The following is a 21,097-nucleotide window of genomic DNA, read 5'->3' on the forward strand; positions in this document are numbered from 1 at the left end:
CTGGCTCAGCCTCCTGAGTAGCTGGGACTACAGGCGCCCACCACCATGCCCAACTAATTTTTTTGTATTTTTAATAGAGACAGGGTTTCACCATGTTAGCCACAATGGTCTCGATCTCCTGACCTCATGATCCGCCTGCCTCGGCCTCCCAAAGTGCTGGGATTACAGGTGTGAGCCACCACGCCCAGCCTACAGACTGTTATCTGGGAAATCCTAATGTAAGTGCTGGCAAAAAGAGGGAAAAAGGAATAGGAAATATAAAGGATGTATTAAAAGCTACAACAGGATTTTAAGTCTTTGGGCTATCTCACAATGTGGTATTAATTTCTTCTTCTCTGCTAAAATATAGAGCTAAGGAACAAACTATGTGTGTCCAAGTGAGTGCACATTTGTGATTATATATAGTTTGGAATCATTTTTTCAAGAGGTCCAGGATCTTCCTCACTCTCCAACATGTAAATGGATAATCCTTCTACCTCTTCCTCATGTCTCCCTGCAGCCATATGTGTCATTGGCTCAGCAGATGGCACCACCTAGCCCAAGCAACAGTACACCTAACAGCAGTAGTGGAAGCAATGGAAATGACCAGCTGAGCAAAACCAACCTATACATCCGAGGATTGCAACCAGGCACTACTGACCAAGATCTTGTCAAGCTGTGTCAGCCGTAAGTTGGAGTACATGTGCGTAGGCTTCCAGGGACAGTATAGATTTGGTTTTGAGACAGGGTCTCGTTATGTTGTCCAGGCTAGTCTTGAACTCCTGGGCTCAAGTGATCCTCCTGTCTCAGTAGCTGGGATTACAGATGCATGCCACCACTCCTGGCCTTGCCAGCTCACTTATCCTAAAAGGCAATGGCATTTTGTTTCTACTCCATAGACACAAACTTTCTCAGCAGCCTCTTAAAAAATTCTACCTGCTACTGGCCGGGTGCGGTGGCTCATGCCTATAATCCCAGCACTTTGGGAGGCCTAGGCGGGCGGATCACGAGGTCAGGAGATCGAGACCATCCTGGCTAACATGGTGAAACCCCGTCTCTACTAAAAATACAAAAGAATTAGCCGGGCATGGTGGCGGGTGCCTGTAGTCCCAGCTACTTAGAAGGCTGAGGCAGGAGAATGGTGTGAACCCTGGAGGCTGAGCTTGCAGTGAGCCGAGATCATGCCACTGCACTCCAGCCTGGGCAATAGAGTGAGATTCCATCTCAAAAAAATAAAAATAAATAAAAATCTACCTGCTACTGATATATATTATAAAGCCTTTATGTGTTTCTCTAAGGAAAGCCAGTGTGGGACTGGCCTTTAAAGCCTAATATCCAACTTTATTTCCAGCACCTCCCCCAACCTGATGGTCTTAGTGGAAAGACTGCTGTCCTTACACCTTGAATAGAGAAGTTTAATATCTCTATAGATGTTAATTAGAAGGCATGAGAGAGCTGGCAGTGGGGATGGAAGAAAGTGGGACTCGCCAATCAAATCATGCACTTTGGAGACTTTCTGCTGCTGGAGATATTCCTTGGGAATGGAGACCTCAAATTAGCAGATAAAGAAGGTGGAGATAGGAACAATTATTCTGTATCTACCCCATGAAGACCCTTCGGAGTTCTTTTTAGTAGATTTGATTCATGGAATTGCCCAATTAGGAATGTTGGAAAAATGGCAAGAGTGCACAGATGTCCAGCTCAAAAAATAATAAGCAATAAAAAATAAAGTCTGGTGTATATAAAAAACTGGTCCTTGGGCCGGGCGTGGTGGCTCACACCTGTAATCCTAGCACCTTGGGAGACCAAGGCAGAAGGATTGCTTGAGCTCAGGAGTTCAAAACCAGGCTGGGCAACATAGTGAGACCTTGTCTCTATAAAAAATATAGTAAAAATATATATTAAAAAAAATTTTAAAACTGGTCCGTTATCTCAGCTTACCTTGCTAGAAAGGTATGTAAGTGGAATTAAGGGGACTGTCTTGGACTAGTAATTTTTGAGAGGTGGGAATTAGCAGAAATGTTGGTTTTTGAGGGAGCGAAAGAGTATCATACTAATATAGGTCCTTGATTTCTAAATTTTGTTTCTTGTACTAAATATAATGTGCTACAAAAATTCTCTCACATCACAAGACAGAGAAGAATCTTTTTTTTTTAAGACTGAGTCTCAGCCTCCCAAGTAGCTGAGATTATAGGCGCACGCCACCACATCGGGCTAATTTTTGTTTTTTTTTTTGCTAGAGATGGGGTTTTACTGTGTTGTCCAGGCTGGTCTCGAACTCCTGACCAGGTGATCTGCCCACTTCGGCCGCCCAAAGTGCTGGGATTACAGGTGTGAGCCACCGTGCCTCGCTCAGAGAAGAATCTTGATTAGACTACCATATATTCGTTCCTCAGTATCTGGGGGGGATTTGTTCCAGGACCTCCTCTGTCCCCCTGCATGGATACCAAAATTCACTGAGCTCATGTCCCTACGCTTTTTTTTCTTTTTAAGACAGGATCTTGTTCTGTCACCAAGGCTGGAGTGCAGTGGTGTAATCACAACTAACTGTAGCCTCCAGGGCTCAAGCAATCCTCCCACCTCAGCCTCCTGAGTAGCTAGGACTACAGGTACACACCACCATGCTTGGCTAATTTTTTGTAAATTTTGTAGAGATGAGATTTCATCATGTTGCCCAGGCTGGTCTCAAACTTATGCGCTCAATCATTCCTCCTGCCTCGGCCTCCCCAAAAGCTGGGATTACAGGCATGAGCTACTGAGCCTGGCTTCAAGTCCCTTAGATAAAATGGTATAGTGGCCAGGCATGATGGCTCATGCCTGTAATTCCAGCACTTTGGGAGGCCAAGATGGGTGGATCACCTGAGGTCAGGAGTTGGAGACCAGCCTGGCCAACATGGTTAAACCCCGTCTGTACTAAAACTACAAAAATTAGCTGGGTGTGGTGGTGGGCACCTGTAGTCCCAGCTACTCAGGAGGCTGAGGCAGAAGAATCTCTTGAACCCAGAAAGCAGACGTTGCAGTGAGCCGAGATCACGCCACCAGAAAGCAGAGGTTGTAGTGAGCCGAGATCACGCCACTGCACCACAGCCTGGGTGACAGAGCAAGACTTCGTCTCAAAATAATAAAAATAAAATAAAATAAAATGGTGTAGTATTTGCATATAACCTATGCACATGCTCCTATATACTTTAAAATTATCTCCAGATTACTTATGATACCTCAATACAATACAAATGCCATGTAAATAAATGTTATACTGTATTGTTTAGGGAATAATGACAAGAAAAAAGTCTGTATATGTTCAGTACAGATGCAACCATCCTTTCTTTTAAAAAACATTTTAACTTTTATTTTAGGTTAAGGGGTACATGTGCAGGTTTGTTACATAGGTAAACTCGGGACTTGGGTATTTGGTGTATAGATTATTTTGTCACCTGGGTACTAAGCATAGTACCCAACAGTTATTTTTTTAGTTTTTTTTCCCTGAACCTCTCTTAGAAGAAAGACTTTTTTTTTTTTCCTATATATTTTCAATCCATGGCTGGTTCAATCCACAAGTGGGAAACCCACAGATACAGAGGGATTTTTATTTTGCCTTTCTGAACAATTGCCTTATCTTTTGCTGTGTCTGAAGCATAAGTATAGTCAAGGGCAGCATGTAGGATCGAAGTAAGGAGCCCAAAAGGGGACTGTGGAGAGGCAGGAGTGAGGCAGGAATGAAAGAGGTGCCAGAGGAGTCCTGACTAGGAGGCTGAGCAGAGCAGGTGGGTGGAGCCCTCTGTCCGCTGTGAGCAGGGAGTTAAGCCTTTCTAGGAAGGATGTTTCTCATGCGTAGACGGACTTCCTGCCTTTGTCCCAGTTGTCTCTCCCTGGGTTGTAGAGGAAGTAAATATTGCTGGATCCTAAAGTCTGGCATGTGGGAAGGAGAGGCGTGGAGTCTAGGACTGGAACTCCTGTTTCTCGGAGGGGCTCCTTCAAGGAAGCAGCAGCAGTGACCCAGCTGTTGCCAGCTGCAGTGGAAATTCTGAGCTCAAAGTCTCAGCTGCTAGACCACAGCAAGCTCCACCCTGGGGCCTTCATAAGGATAGCAGCACTTGTGTCCTCTGCCCCACAGTCAGACTTCTCATGAGTCCCTCCCCTGCCTCAATTTGGGAATGAATCCAAGTGTGTAGCCTGGAAGGGCTAGGATAGCCACATCCATCCTCACCCTCCTTTTAATGTGTTCTGTTCCCAGCTTTCAGGGCATTGCTTGGCTTATTCTGTCTAATCCTTTGGATCACAGAAGTTCTACTAAAAAAGTCAGTGAGATGCCGCCAAGGAGTGAAAACAAATCAATCATCATATGTTCTTTAGGGATGGAAGGAGAGATGGGAAAATTGCTTGTTTGGGGTATTATTCTCAAATTCATTCCCTGACAACTATTTTCAGTTAGCTCTTGTACTTCTGACTTTGTTAGTGATTTCTGTTCTGTCTCTTTAATATTTTCACCCTCCTGGAGTGGAATGTAGAGGCTTTTTTCTAGTGGAACGCTTCTAATATAATCCCTGATCTGTGATACACTACTACTCAAGTTTTAGAAGTTCCACATGACTCTGCTACCAAAGTATAATTTTCAAAAAGTTGAAAAACACAACTGTTAGGCTGGGCACAGTGCCTCACACCTGTAATCACAGCACTTTGGGAGGCTGAGGCAGGTGGATCACTTGAAGTCAGGAGTTCGAGACCAGCCTGACCAACATGGTGAAACACCATCTCTACTAAAAAATACCAAATTAGCTGGGTGTGGTGGCGCATGCCTGTAATCCCAGCTACTCCAGAGGCTGAGGCAGGAGAATCGCTTGAACCCGGGAGGCGGAGGTTGCAGCGAGCCGAGATCACGCCACTGCACTCCAGCCTGGGCAACAAGAGTGAAACTCTGTTTCAGAAAACAAAAAGAAAACACAACTGTCATGCAAATATAAAATGAATATGTGTCAAAGATTTTTATAACTCATTAATGAGGGAACCAGCAGGATGGCAAAATGAGTTCAAAGAGCATTTGAGGAACTATTTATAGGAAATGAAGAAAGAATGTTGGAATAAGATTGCTACATTAGATAAAAACTGGTTTATGTCCTATAGGATAGTAAAGCCACTAACCTTTGCAATTATTTTATCTACTGCACAGAAATAATTTGCATTTTTACTGGACAAAAATCTATAACTTGGCCAAGTGTGGTGGCTCATGCCTGTAATCCCAGCACTTTGGGAGGCTGAGGCGGGTGGATCACCTGAGGTCAGGAGTTTGAGACCAGCCTGGCCAACATGGTGAAACCTCGTCTCTAGTAAAAATGTAAAACTTAGCTGGGTGTGGTGGCAGGCGCCTGTAATCCCAGCTACTCGGGAGGCTGAGGCAGGAGAATCGCTTGAACCTGGGAGGCGGAGGGTGCAGTGAGCTGAGATCACACCATTGCACTCCAGCCTGGGCAACAACAGCAAAACTCCATCTCAAAAAAAAAAAAAGAAGAGGAAGGAGAAGGAGGAGAAGAGGAAGAGGAAGGAGAGGAAGAAGAAGAAGAAAGAAGAAGAAGGAAGAAGAAGAAGAAGAAAGGATATGCAGCCCTTTGGCCTTATCACCAAAATTTAGATGGTTTTTTGTTTATAAGATGATTTTCTTAGAGCTGGGCATGGTGGCTCTCAGCTGTAATCCTAGCACTTTTGGAGGCCAAGGCAGCAGGACTGCTTGAGGCCAGGAGTTAAAGACCAGCCTGGGTAGCATAGTAAGATCCTGTCTCTACAAATAATTTTTAAAATTAGCCGGACATTGTGGTACACACCTTTGGTCCTCAGGAGGCTGAGGCAGGAGAATTGCTTGAGCCCAGGAGTTCGAGGCTGCAGTGAGCCATGTTCACACCACTGCACTCCAGCCTGGGCAACAGAGCCAGACCCTGATGCACACACACACACACAATTTTTTTTTTAATACTACAGTTCCCACTCCCCTCCCTAACACTCTCAAATCTTGACAATGAGAAATAGAAGTCTTAGAGTAAGGCAAAGAGATATTAAAGTTGAGGTTCCTTGAATATAATAATAGCAATTAAAAATTTTAAGTGCTTACCATGTGGTACACATTAATGATTTCTGTTTATTAATTCACAGTCCTAACAATCCTATCTCCATTTTACAGATGATGAGGCTGAGACACCAAAAGGTTCAATGACTTGTTCAAGATCACGCATAGCTAAAAAGTGGCAGAACCAGGATTTGAACCAAAGCAATTTGGCTCAGGTTGACCTTCAATTAAAGGGGTCAGTGGAGGGGTGATGGAAATAGGATATCAGAGAAGAAAAATGTCTATAGTTTTTTCATAGGATCAGTGGTGTTTTCCAAAAGAAAATAAGTAATGGCAAGGATTCTTTTTAGTCCTCAGGGAATTCCAGCCAGAGCTCTGCCTCTACACACTCTTTCGTGTGGACATTGCCAAGCTTCTTTCCCCAAAAGACAGTCATCTCTTTCCAACTAGTGTGTGAGTCTTAGCTGGGAAAGAAGAGAGAAATGTGTTGGTATTATAGGGACTACAGTTACCTTATTTCTTTTAGGTACCTTTGGGGAGGATGGGTTTATATTAAGTGTGGCATTTTTAACCCATTTCTTTTTTTTCTTTTTTTTTTTTTTTGAGATGTAGTGTCGCTCTGTCATCCAATCTGGAATGCAGTGGTGCCATCTTGGCTCACTGCAACCTCCACCTCACAGGTTCAAGCAATTCTCCTACCTCAGCCTCCCAAGTAGCTGGGACTACTGGCGTGACGCCCAGCTAATTTTTGTATTTTTAGTAGAGATGAGGCTTCATCATGTTGGCCAGGCTGGCCTCAAACTCCTGACCTCAAGTGATCCTCCAGCCTCGGCCTCCCAAAATTCTGGGATTACAGGTGTGAGCTACTGCACCCGGCCCCCGTTTCTTTTTTATTTTTATGAAGGTTTGAGTAGGAAAAGTTAGATCATGGAAAGGGCATGGATTTGTTGAGATGTCTGAATCTCTGTCCTATTCTTAGTCTCTGCCCCCCAGATTATTACTTTGCATTTTCCTCTCCCTTAGATATGGCAAGATTGTTTCCACTAAGGCCATACTGGACAAGACCACAAACAAATGTAAAGGTGAGAGAACAACTGTCCTTGGTGTTGGAGAGCACCAGTAAGTGAGGCCATCCCTTGACACTGCCCTTTACTGCTGAGAGTCCTGAGTCTACAGTGTCAGCGAGAAGTCCCTGAAGTTTTTAGGCTTAAAAGATTAGGAGATATTTAGATTCTTTGGTGACCAGATAGCTAGAGCTGAAAATGCTGTTTAGGGGCCCCAAGGCCAGAAGACTGTACAAAACACCTTTGAGTCTACTGAGCTTATTTTGGACTTTGTATTTCCCTGGATGAGGTGGTAGAAGTGGGTAAGTGAGATTTTCTTCTGCTTAGCAAAGTCATGTAAATGCCTTTTTTGGGGAGTGTTTTGGTGGGTGTTATTTTCTGAGGGTGAGTAGTTTTATTGGGGTTTTGAGCAGTTCTAGATAGAGCTGGAAGAGTGGAAGGAAGAGAAAGGGCTATAAGCTGGGGTGGTGAGGGTCTTCTTCCAGCAGGTGGCTGGTGGTCTGCTCTGGAGAGGCTGCATTCCCTACATGCCTAGCATTTCTGGGGTATATCAAGAAAAGAGGGGAGTGAATTCTTTTAGAGGTGTAGGGGGGCTTTGGGTTATTAGCAGAGCCTAGTTCCTGAAACCTCAAATTTCTTAAGGGGGAGGGAGAAGGGCAGGGACACCAGAGTAGCTCATTGCCTTGGCATTCTTAGCCACAAAGTAGATCACATCTCAGGGTTTGAGGAGCATGTGGATAACTACCTGAAACCTCTCAATAGCTCTTTCTCCCTCCCATTTCTGTTACATGGATCATAACTCTTCCTCTGTCTCCTGAAAAGCCTGGACCTCTCTGTTCCTTACACCTCCCACTTCCTAGTGATGCTGTTTCCTCTGTTCCAGGCTATGGCTTTGTAGATTTTGACAGCCCTTCAGCAGCACAGAAAGCTGTAACAGCACTGAAGGCCAGCGGTGTACAGGCACAGATGGCAAAGGTAAGGGTACTACCCCATGTCTGTTCCTCCAAGGGGTTTGTGGTTAGCACCAAAGTTCCAGTTCTAAGGTTTCCAGAGGGCTTAAGAACCATGAAATTGAGTGGGCAAGGGCTATCCGTGGTGCTTTCTAGACAGTCCATGAGCACCCCTGGCTGCTGGAGGAAGATGTATTCAAAGTCTATGGCAGGTAGCTCTATCAGCTCTCTTCCTTTCACCAAGTTATTGGCAGCAAGAAAGGTAAGGTGGCCTCTTCCGGTACTCCTGCTGCTTCCCCGTGTTCCCTATATTATTCACCCTGGCCCCACTTCCCTACCAGACAGCTTGTGGTGGTTTTGCAACATTCTCTGAACAAGTCAATTGTGCAACTCAGAATTTCAGAACAATGCTCTCCACCTCCTAATGTTGTTCCCCATACGGGCTGGGTAGTGGGCTGGGGAGGCAGGAGGGAAGCCACATCAAGGGAGGAAACTGTCTCTTCTCAGATCTGTCTGAAACTGTTGTCTTCACCTAGACTACTAGAAATCTAGAAGCTTTTCTCTCACTTCTTCTGTTAGGTGGGATTGTCTCCTTGCCTTTCTATTTTATTTTATTTATTTATTTATTTTGAGACAGCGTCTCGCTCTGTCGCCCCGGCTGGAGTGCAGTGGCGCAATCTCGGCTCACTGCAAGCTGCACCTCCCGGCTTCACGCCATTCTCCTGCCTCAGCCTCCCAAGTAGCTGGGACTACAGGCACCCGCCATCACCTCCAGCTAATTTTTTGTATTTTTAGTAGAGACAGGGTTTCACCGTGTTAGCCAGGATGGTCTCGATCTCCTGACGTTGTGATCCGCCCACCTCAGCCTTCCAAAGTGCTGGGATTACAGGCATGAGCCACCACGCCTGGCTGTCCCTTTGCCTTTCTGAAGCTGTTATGAGTATTATACATAGAGCTTGTGAGGCAGGCCTGCTAGACACCTTTTCTGTAATGGTTAAAGAAAAGGAAAACAAAAGGAAAAGGCAGAAGAGGATTAAGGTTGCTGGTGACCACTGTTTAGGGCAGAGTGACTGCTTAAATTCTTAAAAATACAACTATTGGATGATATTGCCATTTTGCACATTCTGTCCCCTGGAAGGGCTCTCCTACCTCTTCTTCCAGGAGTAAAACCCTCTGACAAAAGCTCAAAGGTTTAGGAGCCTTCAGGGTCCTAGGAGACTGTAGCTTTCAGGGCTCCGTGGTGACACAGTGAACTCTGCATCTGGCTCTCTCCCTGTTCCCTTCTCCCCTCCTCCTGCTCTTCCTCCATCAGGGAGTGAACAGGCATTCCTACTTAGAGGATTCTGCGTGGCTGGAAGAGAAGTGGGGAGGGGCTGCTCAAAACAAGCCAGCCAAGGAGCAAGGCAGTCTGAGGGAATCCAGCCTCTGGGACCGGCTGCTGGGGGAGAGCGGGAATGCTGCTCTGCCTGTTTCTAAAAGAGACAGCCAAACACCATTTATGACTTGTATGATGGGCTTGTATAGTACTAGAAATATTAAATCTGCACTTCTCCCTCCTGGAACTCAATATACAACCCGTGGTAGTGGGACTGGGTGTTAACAAATAGAATAATCTTTGTTTATGTGGGACCCTTCCTATAGTCTCTTTTCTGAAATGTCATTTGTGGGGAGGGCTGAGGGTGGGAGAGGGATAAGAGATGTGAGCCTCATTTTCTCACTGTTATTTCCACAGCAACAGGAACAGGACCCCACAAATTTATACATCTCAAACCTCCCACTGTCAATGGATGAGCAGGAACTGGAGGGGATGCTGAAGCCCTTTGGCCAGGTTATCTCCACCCGTATCCTTCGAGATACCAGTGGGACCAGCAGAGGTGTTGGCTTTGCAAGGTGAGGATGGCAGGAGTGGGGAAATGATGAGGTTAATAACAAATGTCACTTGGGGGTCACCAGAAAACAAAATCTATGCCTTTCCCACACAAGGTCAAAATACTTTACTATTATTCAAAAATACTTGATGGTAAGTCAAAAGTTCATTTTAGGCCAGGTGCGGTGGCTTACACCTGTAATCCCAGCACTTTAGGAGGCCAAGGCAGGCATATCACCTGAGGTCAGGAGTTTGAGACCAGCCTGGCAAACATGGTGAAACCCCGTCTCTACTAAAAATACAAAAATTAGCCAGACGTGGTGGCGCATGCCTGTAATCCCAGCTACTCAGGAGGCTGAGGCAGGAGAATTGCTTGAACCTGGGAGGCAGAGGTTGCAGTGAGCTGAGATCGCACCACTGCACTGCAGCCTGGGGAACAGAGTGAGACTCTGTCTCAAAAAAAAAAAAAAAAAAAAGGTTCATTTTATTATAGGTTACAATACTCAAAAACCCATTAGCCCCACCTAAATATTTTTTTTATAAAGATGGGGTCTTGCTGTGTTGCCCAGGCTGCTCTTGAACATCTGGGCTCAAGTGATCCTCCTGCCTCAGCCACCTAAGCAGTTGGGATTACAGGCATGAGCCACCACACTCGGCTAAGCTCCCTACTACTTCCTAGGGAAGTACTCTAGGCTTTGTTCCTTTAATCCAGACCCAACCAGAGTAAAAAATTCTGTATATTCTTATAGTTTACTGAGTATTTCTCATCTTGTCTCATTTAATCTTTACAACATCCCTGTGAGATAAATATTCTCTATCTTACAGATGAGGAAAGTGAACTCTTCAGTAGAAATGATTTGCCCAGGGTCTTACAGGAGTGGGTGTTAGAGCAGAGCCCTGATCCTTCTGGCTTTGAGAGCAGTAGGATGAGGTAGAAGTTTTGATCTTCCTTTTCAGATCTGTTGGGAGACCTGTATTCCAGAACAATTCTGCACCTGTGATATCAGAGCTTGTGAGCCTTGGTTCACTCTCTGAAGTGGAGATTGATTCAGATGAGTAATTTTCCCACAGTATTCCCTATACCTGCAGTTTTCCCAGGTGCCCTTCTTTGGGCTTTGGTATCTGCCCTCACTGTCGTAGGGTATCAGCCTCCCTTAGCCCACTTAAGAAATGGCTCTGCTTTTATTTATTTTAAGATTTTATTTGAAAGGAGATTCTTTTGACTTTTTTTTTTTTTTTTAGTTTCAAAATGACTGGACTAAGTGAGCCAAGCACCCCTTTTTGCTTTATATCTTGTCTGGTCCGTGAACACCCCCTTACTCTGAGTGTTTCAGACCTTGGGAACAAGAAATAGTTTCTCTTGGCTGGGCGTGGTGGCTCACGCCTGTAATCCCAGCACTTTGGGAGGCTGAGGCGGGTGGATCACCTGAGGTCAGGAGTTTGAGACCAGCCTGGCCAACCTGGTGAAACCCCGTCTCTACTAAAAATACAAAAATTAGCTGGGTATGGTGGCGGGCTCCTGTAGTCCCAGCTACTCGGGAGGCTGAGGCAGGAGAATCACTTGAACCCGGGAGGCGGAGGTTGCAGTAAGCCGAGATCGCGCCATTGCATTCCAGCCTGGGCAGCAAAGCGAGACGCCATCTCAAAAAAAAAAAAAAAAAAAAAAAAAAGAAGAAGAAGAAAAGAAATAGTTCCTCTTCCCCAGCTGACTCAAGCTTAGTAGCACCACCTGCTGGCAATCCCGTGTATATCTAAAGGAGAGTTCCTAGGCTTGGGACCATCGAACTTATTTTGCAGGTTGAGCAGAGGTTCTTAACCTTTCTCAGTTTGTGCCACCCTTAGTTATCTAATAGTTTTTCACCCTAGACCAAAAGAAATACCTAACAGTTCAATTTATTAAGTAACTGAATGGTCCACACTTTTTTTTTTTTTTTTTGAGACGGAGTCTCGCTCTGTCGCGTACCACAGGTGCGTACCACCACGCCTGGCTAATTTTTGTATTTTTGTTGTTGTTGTTGTTGTTGTTGAGACGAAGTCTCACTCTGTTGCCCAGGCTGGAGTGCAATGGCACAATCTTGGCTCACTGCAACCTCTGCCTCCCGGGTTCAAGTGATTCTCCTGCCTCAGCCTCCTGAGTAACTGGGATTACAGGCGCCCGCCACCATGCCCAGCTAATTTTTGTATTTTTAGTAAAGATGTGGTTTCACCAGGTTGTCCAGGCTGTTCTCGAACTCCTGACCTCAGGTTATCCAGCCGCCTCAGCCTCCCAAAGTGCTAGGATTACAGGCATGAGCCACTGCGCCCAGCCAGTCCACACAACTTTTTAAAAAAATTTCCTGACAGCAGTAACTTCATGGTCCATACAGCTTAAGAAGTGTTTATGCTTTAACAACTTTGTAGCTGTTTGAAAAAATAATACACAAACATTGAAAGAGAGCATGTCTTTATTTCATTCTAACTATACTTACTAATGGAATATGTGCCTGTTGGAATTGCACAACTTCTCAAAATTTGGTATCAGAATGGACACCTACACACTCATTTCCTGTTACGTATTGGTTTTCTTATGGTATTTGCTTTTGTCATAGCAACTATTTAAACCCAGCTTTGTGAAAATATGATGTTATCTATCAAAAGGATTGTAGGGGGAACTAATGTTGAAGCAGTGTACAATTTTGAGTTAGTAGTGCACACATTCTCCAACAGATATTGCTGTTTTTCTTCAAAGAGTTAAAATAACCCTCGTTGTGACCCTCTGAGTTCACCACAGCCACCCACAGTGCCTGAGAGCACAGTTTAGGAACTGTGGCTTTAGAGACTTTTGAAAAACTATGAAATCTCTTATATGTTTCTATGTTAATGTCTACAAGTTTTCTTCATATATTCAGATTCATGCAAAGTATGATTTCCAGCAAATTATAAATATTGGCATTTAAAATAAAACTGTTACTTCGTTTAAAAATGTATTCAAATGAGATCTAAATATCATAGCAATCTGATACACAAATCATTCATTTAAAAAATACCTGACTTTGGCCGGACTCCGTGACTCACGCCTATAATCCTAGCACTTTGGGAGGCCGAGGCGGGCGGATCATGAGGTCAGGAGATCGAGATCATCCTGGCTAACATGGTGAAACCCCATCTCTACTAAAAATACAAAAAATTAGCCGGGCGTGGTGGCGGGCGCCTGTAGTCCCAGCTTACTCGGAAGGCTGATGCTGGAGAATGGTGTGAACCCGGGAGGCGGAGCTTGCAGTGAGCCCAGATTGCACCAAGGCGCTTCAGCCTGGGCGACATGCACTTCAGCCTGGGCAACAGAGTGAGACTCGTCTCAAAAAAAAACCCGACTTTGGGAGGCTGAGGCGGGCAGATCACTTGAGCTCAGGAGTTCAAGACCAGCCTGGGCAACATGTGAAACCCCATCTCTACAAAAACAAAACAAACAAAAAAAATTAGCTGAGCATGGTGGCACGTGCCTATAGTTCCAGCTACCTGGGAGGCTAAGGTGGGAGGATCACCTGAGCCCAGGAGGTCAAAACTGCAGTCAACCATGATCACACCACTGCACTCTGGCCTGGGCTACAGAGTGAGACCCTGTCTCAATAAATAAATCAATACAGGAATATGGGTAGGGCTGGAGGCAGATGGGGTGGGTCTTGCCCTGGGGATGGAGCTATGGGCCCATAGGACCCCCAGCCACTTCCTAGTCCCCCTTACCCCTACACCCCCCCTCAAAAAAAAAGGGCTATTTTTTTTTAAATTAAATACAGTAGTCTCGGCCAGGCATGGTGGCTCACGCCTGTAATCCCAACACTTTGGGAAGCCAAGGCAGGCAGATCACCTGAGGTCGGGAGTTCGAGACCAGCCTGACCAACGTGGAAAAACCCCGTCTCTACTAAAAATGCAAAATTAGCTGGGCATGGTGGCGCATGCCTGTAATCCCAGCTACTCAGGAGGCTGAGGCAGGAGAATCATTTGAACCTGGGAGGCGGAGGTTACGGTGAGCTGAGATCACGCCATTGCACTCCAGCCTGGGCGACAAGAGCAAAACTCCATCTCAAAGAAAAAAAAAAAAATAGAGTGGTCCCCCCTTATTTATGGTTTTACTTTCTATGGTTTCAGTTACCCACAGTCAACTGAAAATATTAAATGGAAAAGTCCAGAAATAGTTACAAAGTTTTTAAATTGTATGCCATTCTGAGTAGCATGATTAAATTTCAGGCTGGGCTCGGTGGCTCATGTCTGTAATCCCAACACTTTGGGAGGCCGAGGCGAGCAGATCACTTGAGATCAGGAGGTCAAGACCAGCCTGGTCAACATGGTAAAACCCCATCTCCATTAAAAATACAAAGCTAGCCAGGAGTGGTAGTGTGCACCTGTAGTCCCAGGTACTCGGGAGGCTGAGGCAGTAGAATTGCTTGAACCTGAGAGGCAGAGGTTGCAGTGAGCCAAGATCACACCACTGCACTCTAACATGAGTGACACAGTGAGATTCTGTCTCAAAAACATAAATAAATAAAAAATTTCATGTTGTCCGCTCCATCCCACCCTTTGTCCAAAGTATCCACACTGCAAATGCTACCCACCCATTAGTCACTTAGTAGCCATTGTGGCCATCAGATGAAAAAGCGTAGTATATCTAGGGTTTGGTACTATCCATGGTTTCAGGCATCCACTAGGGGACTTGGAATGTATCTCCTGAGGATAAGGGGGGACTACTAGAGTCATAAATCTCATATCATTCTTATATTCCTTTTTTCTTCTTGAACTTGTGTTTCTATTCCATTTCTCTATAGAATTTTGTTTCTATTCCATTTCTCTATAGAATTGTATTCTAGTGTAAAATATTTTTATAAAGTCTTTATGGATCATCTTGTCATACTTCTCTGCAACAAAAATATGTATATAAATTAAAAATTTTGGCCAGGCATGGTGGCTCATGCCTGTATAATACCAGCACTTTGGGAGGCTGAGGTGGGCGGATCACTTGAGGTCAGGAATTTGAGACCAGCCTGGCCAAAATGGTGAAACCCCGTCTCTACTAAAAATATAAAAATTAGCTAGGTGTGTTGGTGGGCACCTGTAATTCCAGCTACTTAGGAGGCTGAGGTGAGAGAATCACTTGAACCTGGGAGATGGAGGTTGCAGTGAGCTGAGATCACACCACTGCACTCCAGCCTGGATGACAGAGTGAGATTCCAAAAAAAAAAAAAAAAAAAAGTTATCTTTACAATGATGAGCTCACAATTGCCCAGACAACATAAATATATTAAAATGTTCATACAAGGCCAGGGGCAGTGGCTCACGCCCGTAAGCCCAGCACTTTGGGAGGCCAAGGTGGGTGGATCACCTGAGGTCAGGAGTTCGAGACCAGCCTGGTCAACTCGGTGAAACCCTGTCTCTACTAAAAGTACAAAAATTAGCTGGGCGAGCGCCTGTAATCCCAGCTACTGTAATCCCAGCTACTCAGGAGTCTGAGGCAGGAGAATCATTTGAACCCAGGAGGCAGAAGTTGCAGTGAGCCGAGATCACACCACTGCACTCCAGCCTGGACAACAAGAGCGAAACTCCATCTCAAAAATAATAATAATAAATAAAATAAAATAAAATGTTCATACAAAATTATTATTATTATTATTATTATTATTATTATTATTGAGACAGGGTCTCACTCGGTTGTGCAGGCTAGAGTGCATTGGTACGATCCTGGCTCACTACAGCCTTGACCTTCTGGGCTCAAGTGATCCTTACACCTCCGCTTCCTGAGTATCTGGAACTACAGGCCCCCACCACCATGCCCAGCTAATTTTTTGGTGGGGGGATGGTGGGGGCAGCAAATTTTTTAATTTTTTAATTTTTTTTTTGGAGATGGAGTTTCACTCTGTCGCCCAGGCTGGAGTGCAGTGCTGCAATCTTGGCTCATGGCAACCTCTGCCTCCCAGGTTCAAGCAATTCTCCTGCCTCAACCTCCCAAGTAGCCGGGACCACTGGCACATGCCGCCACGCCCGGCTAATTTTTTGTATTTTAGTAGAGACTGGGTTTTACCATGTTGCCCAGGCTGGTCTCGAACTCCTGAGCTGAGCTCAGGCAATCCACCTGCCTCGGCCTCCCAGAGTGCTAGGATTACAGGCGTGAGCCACTGGACCCGGCCTAATTTTTTAATTTTTTTGTAGAGTTGGAGTCTCACTGTTTTGCCCAAGCTGGTCTTGAACACCTGGGCTCAAGCAGTCCTCCTGCCTCAGCCTTTCAAAGTGCTGGGATTGAGGCATGAGCTACTGTTCCTGGCCCAAATTTTTTTTTTTATTTTTTTGAGATGGCGTCTCGCTCTGTTGCCCAGGCTGGATTACAGTGGTGTGATCTCAGCTCACTGTAAACTCCGCCTCCCGGGTTCAGGCGATTCTTGTGCCTCAGCCTCCCAAGTAGCTGGGATTACAGGTGCATGCCACCATGCCCAGCTAATTTTTGTATTTTTAGTAGAGACAGGGTTTCACCCAGTTGGCCAGGCTGGTCTCGAACTCCTGGCCTCAAGTGATCCACCCAACTCGGTTTCCCAAAGTGCTGGGATTACAGAGGTGAGCCACCACACCTGGCCAAATTATTTTATAGAAGTAAATTTTATTGCATATACAGAAGCATCTATGACATGGATAGGTTTTGTTTTGTTTAGATTTTTCTAATTAGGACAGGTAAGCATAAATTAATATTGTTTATTACTGTAACAAGGGAGAGTTTAATGCCAGTTCTGTTTCTGCTTTTTGTTTTCATGCTGAGAAACCTTGTTCTCATAAATAAGTAGATGGGAGTGGAAAGGATTTTGTTAAAACAGGAATTTTAAAAATTTCTTCTGGCCAGGTGTGGTGGCTTGTGCCTGTAATCCCAGCACTTTGGGAGGCCGAAGCAGGCAGATCACTTGAGGCCAGAAGTTTGAGACCAGCCTGGACAACATGGTGAAACCCCATCTCTACTGAAAATACAGCAATTAGCCAGGCGTGGTGGCTCATGCCTGTAATCCCAGCTACTTGGGAGCTGAGGTAGGAGAATCGTTTGAACCTGGGAGGAGGAGGTTGCAGTGAGCCGAGATTGCACCACTGTACTCCAGCCTGGGCAACAGAGCGAGACTCCATCTAAAAAAACAAACAAAAAAATCCTTCTGAATTATATGCCAAGAACCAAGGTGTTCTGTCATCAAAATTGATTTTTTATGTGTGAATTGACAACTTGCTAAAGTCCCCCAACTTTGTTGTTTCTAAAGAATTGGAAACCATTTGAGAGGAGCTATTGTAAGAGGGGACTTCAGCCTTGATCATTAGCCGTCAGGAGCTCTCCCTCAGGAAGATCAGATTTAACAGTTTTTGAGAAACTTGAGATTCTGAAATGCTCCACGGCCTGCTTACCCTTTGGAAAGACTGTAAGGGGTAGAAGTACCCAACAGAAGACCACAGCTCTACGATACCTAATGTGTGGTTTTCTCTAAAAGGCTCAATTTAAGGACTTTTAACAATATCTTCTTTTGGCTGGTTGCGGTGACTCATGCCTGTAATCCCAGCACTTTGGGAGGATGAGGCGGGCGGATCACGAGGTCAGGAGATGGAGACCATTCTGGCTAACAGGGTGAAACCCCGTCTCTACTAAAAATACCAAAAAAAATTAGCCGGGTGTGGTGGCGGGCACCTGTAGTCCCAGCTTACTTGGGAGGCTGAGGCAGGAGAATGGTGTGAACCCAGGAGGCAGAGCTTGTAGTGAGCCGAGATCGCGCCACTGCACTCCAGCCTGGGCGACAGAGCAAGACTCAGTCTCAAAAAAAAAAAAAAAATCTTTTATAGGAATGGTTCATATTTCTGGTGGTCATTGGCACAGAAAATGTGAGTCTTACTTTAAATATGGGGAAATAGATTAAATATACTGAGTTAATTTAAATATGGAAATAGGTGAAAATACTGTTCCTTGTTCTATATAGTCCCTTATAATTTGTAGAACACATTTATATACATTATCTCCTTTGATCTACACAACACCATGTGGTAGGGTAGATGGATGTTATCTCTAAAGCACAAATAAGGAGTAGATCAGAGGGGTTTTTTTGTTTTGCTTTGTTTTTTGTTGTTGTTTTTGAGACGGAGTCTTGCTCTGTCACCTAGGCTGGAGTGCAGTGGCATGATCTCAGCTCACTGCAGCCTCTGCTTCCCAGGTTCAAGCAATTCTTCTCCCTCAGCCTCCCGAGTAGCTGGGACTACTGGCACGCACCACCACACTCAGCTAATTTTTTTTGTATTTTTAGTAGAGACGGGGTTTCACCATGTTGGCCAGGATGGTCTTGATCTCCTGACCTTGTGATCCGCCCGCCTCAGCCTCCCAAAGTGCTGGGATTACAGGCGTGAACCACTGAGCCTGGCCTTTTTTTTTTTTTTTTTTTTAACACAGATTCTCGCCCTGTTGCCCAGGCTGGAGTGCAATGGCGTGATCTCGACTCACTACAACCTCTGCCTCCCAGGTTCAAGCGATTCTCTCACCTCTGCCTCCTGAGTAGCTGGGACTACAGGCAAGTGCCACCACTCCCGGCTAATTTTTGTATTTTTAGTAGAGATGGGGTTTCTCCATGTTGTCCAGGCTGGCCTCAAACTCCTGACCTCAAGTGATCTGCCTGCCTCAGCCTCCCAAAGTGCTGGGATTACAGGCGTGAGCCACCGCACCCGGCGGATCAGAGGGTTTTTGTGAGTGTCCTAACTCACAGAGCTCTGGGTGGCGAAGTGGTGCTGGAATCTCAGTCTTCTGATTCCTTATTTCTCTTTCTCCAACAAGAAACTAACTCAGTAGACTCCAACATTCCTTTTTCTATCACTATGGGCCATGAACTCTTTCTTATTGCTTTTTCCTTCCACAGATTCATGAAATATTAATGATATTATCAATAGCTAATTAGACCTTGACCTTAATTACAACAAGGAGCAAAAAATAAATATTGGCAAATTCTTAGCTTGTACAATTTTATCAAATTAAAGGAACAATTTTCATTCAGAATTTTCTAATAAAAAATAATGGTAACAACCTCTATTTCTTGTATTCTTATTTATATGGCAGATACAAGAGAGGGCCCATGTTAATAGTCTGAAGACTGCCATTATTCCTATGAGGATCCCATACAGGGACCAGTTGAAAGAACCTTCATTACAAGCTGGGGTTACCTCTTCAAGAACCTTGAATTTGTGTGGCAGACACTCTGTGTTTCTGTAGTCATAACATTTGGAGCAGTTGTGGGGCTGGGAACTTAGAGCTTTGCTTTCTCTTTCAATGTGTGGAGAGCACAGATCCTGGAGAAGCTAGAGCCTAACCCCTCTTATGCTCCTTAGGATGGAGTCCACAGAGAAGTGTGAAGCCATCATCACCCACTTTAATGGAAAATATATTAAGACACCCCCTGGAGTACCAGGTGAGGCATCTGGGGCTCAGGCTGAGAGGGCCACAGGTTGTTACTTCCAGTGAAGATTCTGGAGCAGCTTTGCATGACTGTGCCTGGGCCACATGAGGTGGGACTCAGCTGCCCATCTGCCTTCTCTCTCGGCAGCCCCATCCGATCCCTTGCTTTGCAAATTTGCTGATGGCGGGCCAAAGAAACGACAGAACCAAGGAAAATTTGTGCAAAATGGACGGGCTTGGCCAAGGAATGCAGACATGGTAAGAGGACCTCTGAGGAGACAGGAGTACTAACGACATTAAAGTGGAACGGAAATGATCATGGCATGATTTCTGTGAGCTTAGGTGGAAAGCTTGAGAGCTACAGTACGTAATTGAGAAATGCTGGCTGTGAACATACTGCCAGTTTGTTCTCGAGTGTGGCTTTGCGGCCTGCACAATTAGAAAAACTCTGAAACAGCTGTAGTGGGACTTGTCTAGGCTTTAATTTGTTAAACCAAAACATTCCCAGCCTTGGACATTCTGGGCCAGCTCCTATTCTCACTCAAGGGCTCACAATGTGAACACTGTGTTCTTTCTTTATAGGGCGTCATGGCCTTGACCTATGACCCCACCACAGCTCTTCAGAATGGGTAAGGTTTTATATAATCAAGCCACCTGAAAATGATAATGGCCTGTGTCCAGACACTCAAATGATTCATCTTGATTCTCTCTATTTGAAAGTCAAGGGAACGTTGGCTGTGCCTATCAGTTGGGACCCTTCCCTTGTGGTTTCCTGTGACTCAGTACTGATTGAGGTTCCTTCCCACAGGTTTTACCCAGCCCCCTATAACATCACCCCCAACAGGATGCTTGCTCAGTCTGCACTCTCCCCATACCTTTCCTCTCCTGTGTCTTCGTATCAGGTATGTTCATGCCTGAAAAATGGTGTGGTGGTTTTCCCTACTACTGTGCTTTAAGTGAAGTAATATAAGGCTAGGAACTACTTGTTTTTTGTTTTTCCTTTTAATCATATTACACACAATTTTACATAACAGCGTAAAAGATGATCTGTGCATGTGGTCATATATATGGTATACAGTTTTAATGGTGTCCTCTTACTCCCCCTCCACCACCTCCACAAGTAAACTCATGTTAATGTCCTACTGTGTAGCATTTGTCATATTTTTTCATATGAATACACATATGTATAGCATTTGGGGAGTTGTTTATTTTACAAAAATTGGACCAGATTAAATATATTTTTACATTCACTCATCTCACTTAACAGTATCCTACACCAGTGATTCTCAAAGTGTGGTCCCTGAACAAGCAGCATCAGCATCATCTGAGAATTTTTAGAAACAGAAATTTTGGACTACCCTCCAAATCTACTGAATTACAAACTCTGAGGATGGGGCCCAGTGATCTGGGCTTTTGTTTGTTTGTTTGTTTGTTTTAAGAGGGCGTCTCCCTCTGTTGCCCAGGCTGGAATGCAGTGGTGCAATCTCGGCTCACTGCAATCTCCGCCTCCTAGGTTCAGGCGATTCTCCTGTTTTAGCCTCTGGAGTACCTGGGATTACAGGCATGCGCCACCACGCCCAGCTAATTTTTGTTTTTTTTAGTAGAGACGGGGTTTCACCATGTTGGCCAGACTGGTCTCAAACTCCTGACCTCAGGTGATCCGCCCGCCTCGGCCTCCCAAAGTGCTGCGCCACGCCCAGCCGTGATCTGGGTTTTAACAAGCCCTCCAGGTGATTCTGTTGCAGCTAATGTTGAGATCCTCTG

At 45.0% G+C, this 21,097-nt stretch overlaps 1 protein-coding gene across 15 annotated transcripts in view, besides 4 other annotated features; it reads left to right on the top strand.

Moving 5' to 3' along the window:
• RBMS2 (RNA binding motif single stranded interacting protein 2) overlaps positions 1–21,097 on the top strand; it is a 75,789-nt gene that overhangs the window by 41,513 nt on the left and 13,179 nt on the right. For 11 of the 15 annotated variants that reach the window (XM_024449115.2, NM_002898.4, NM_001414461.1 and 8 more), the window contains 8 exons: positions 500–666; positions 7,058–7,116; positions 7,982–8,073; positions 9,781–9,938; positions 19,267–19,346; positions 19,482–19,591; positions 19,916–19,962; positions 20,142–20,235. In XM_024449115.2, coding sequence (XP_024304883.1) covers positions 524–666; positions 7,058–7,116; positions 7,982–8,073; positions 9,781–9,938; positions 19,267–19,346; positions 19,482–19,591; positions 19,916–19,962; positions 20,142–20,235 — 783 coding nt within the window. In that variant the 5' untranslated portion in view covers positions 500–523. Of the gene's footprint in view, positions 1–122; positions 219–499; positions 667–6,148; positions 6,270–7,057; positions 7,117–7,981; positions 8,074–9,780; positions 9,939–10,872; positions 12,878–19,266; positions 19,347–19,481; positions 19,592–19,915; positions 19,963–20,141; positions 20,236–21,097 lie in introns of those variants that run through there. The other 4 variants (XM_024449116.2, XM_047429298.1, XM_011538642.4 and 1 more) reach the window with 4 other exon arrangements.
• Positions 3,426–3,964: an enhancer, noted in NCBI's record as "H3K27ac hESC enhancer chr12:56959127-56959665 (GRCh37/hg19 assembly coordinates)". NCBI's record gives its function as "activates a minimal SCP1, AML or CMV promoter by ChIP-STARR-seq in primed H9 embryonic stem cells {active_cell/tissue: H9 hESC(primed)}" and the evidence as "EXISTENCE:reporter gene assay evidence [ECO:0000049][PMID:30033119]".
• Positions 3,965–4,502: an enhancer, noted in NCBI's record as "H3K27ac hESC enhancer chr12:56959666-56960203 (GRCh37/hg19 assembly coordinates)". NCBI's record gives its function as "activates a minimal SCP1, AML or CMV promoter by ChIP-STARR-seq in primed H9 embryonic stem cells {active_cell/tissue: H9 hESC(primed)}" and the evidence as "EXISTENCE:reporter gene assay evidence [ECO:0000049][PMID:30033119]".
• Positions 4,086–4,135: a silencer, noted in NCBI's record as "silent region_4560". NCBI's record gives its function as "represses an Ori minimal core promoter by ATAC-STARR-seq in GM12878 lymphoblastoid cells {active_cell/tissue: GM12878}" and the evidence as "EXISTENCE:reporter gene assay evidence [ECO:0000049][PMID:35858748]".
• Positions 20,229–20,278: an enhancer, noted in NCBI's record as "active region_6503". NCBI's record gives its function as "activates an Ori minimal core promoter by ATAC-STARR-seq in GM12878 lymphoblastoid cells {active_cell/tissue: GM12878}" and the evidence as "EXISTENCE:reporter gene assay evidence [ECO:0000049][PMID:35858748]".

The sequence above is a fragment of the Homo sapiens genome, chromosome 12 (assembly GCF_000001405.40).
Source record: "Homo sapiens chromosome 12, GRCh38.p14 Primary Assembly".
Taxonomy (NCBI): Eukaryota; Metazoa; Chordata; class Mammalia; order Primates; family Hominidae; genus Homo; species Homo sapiens.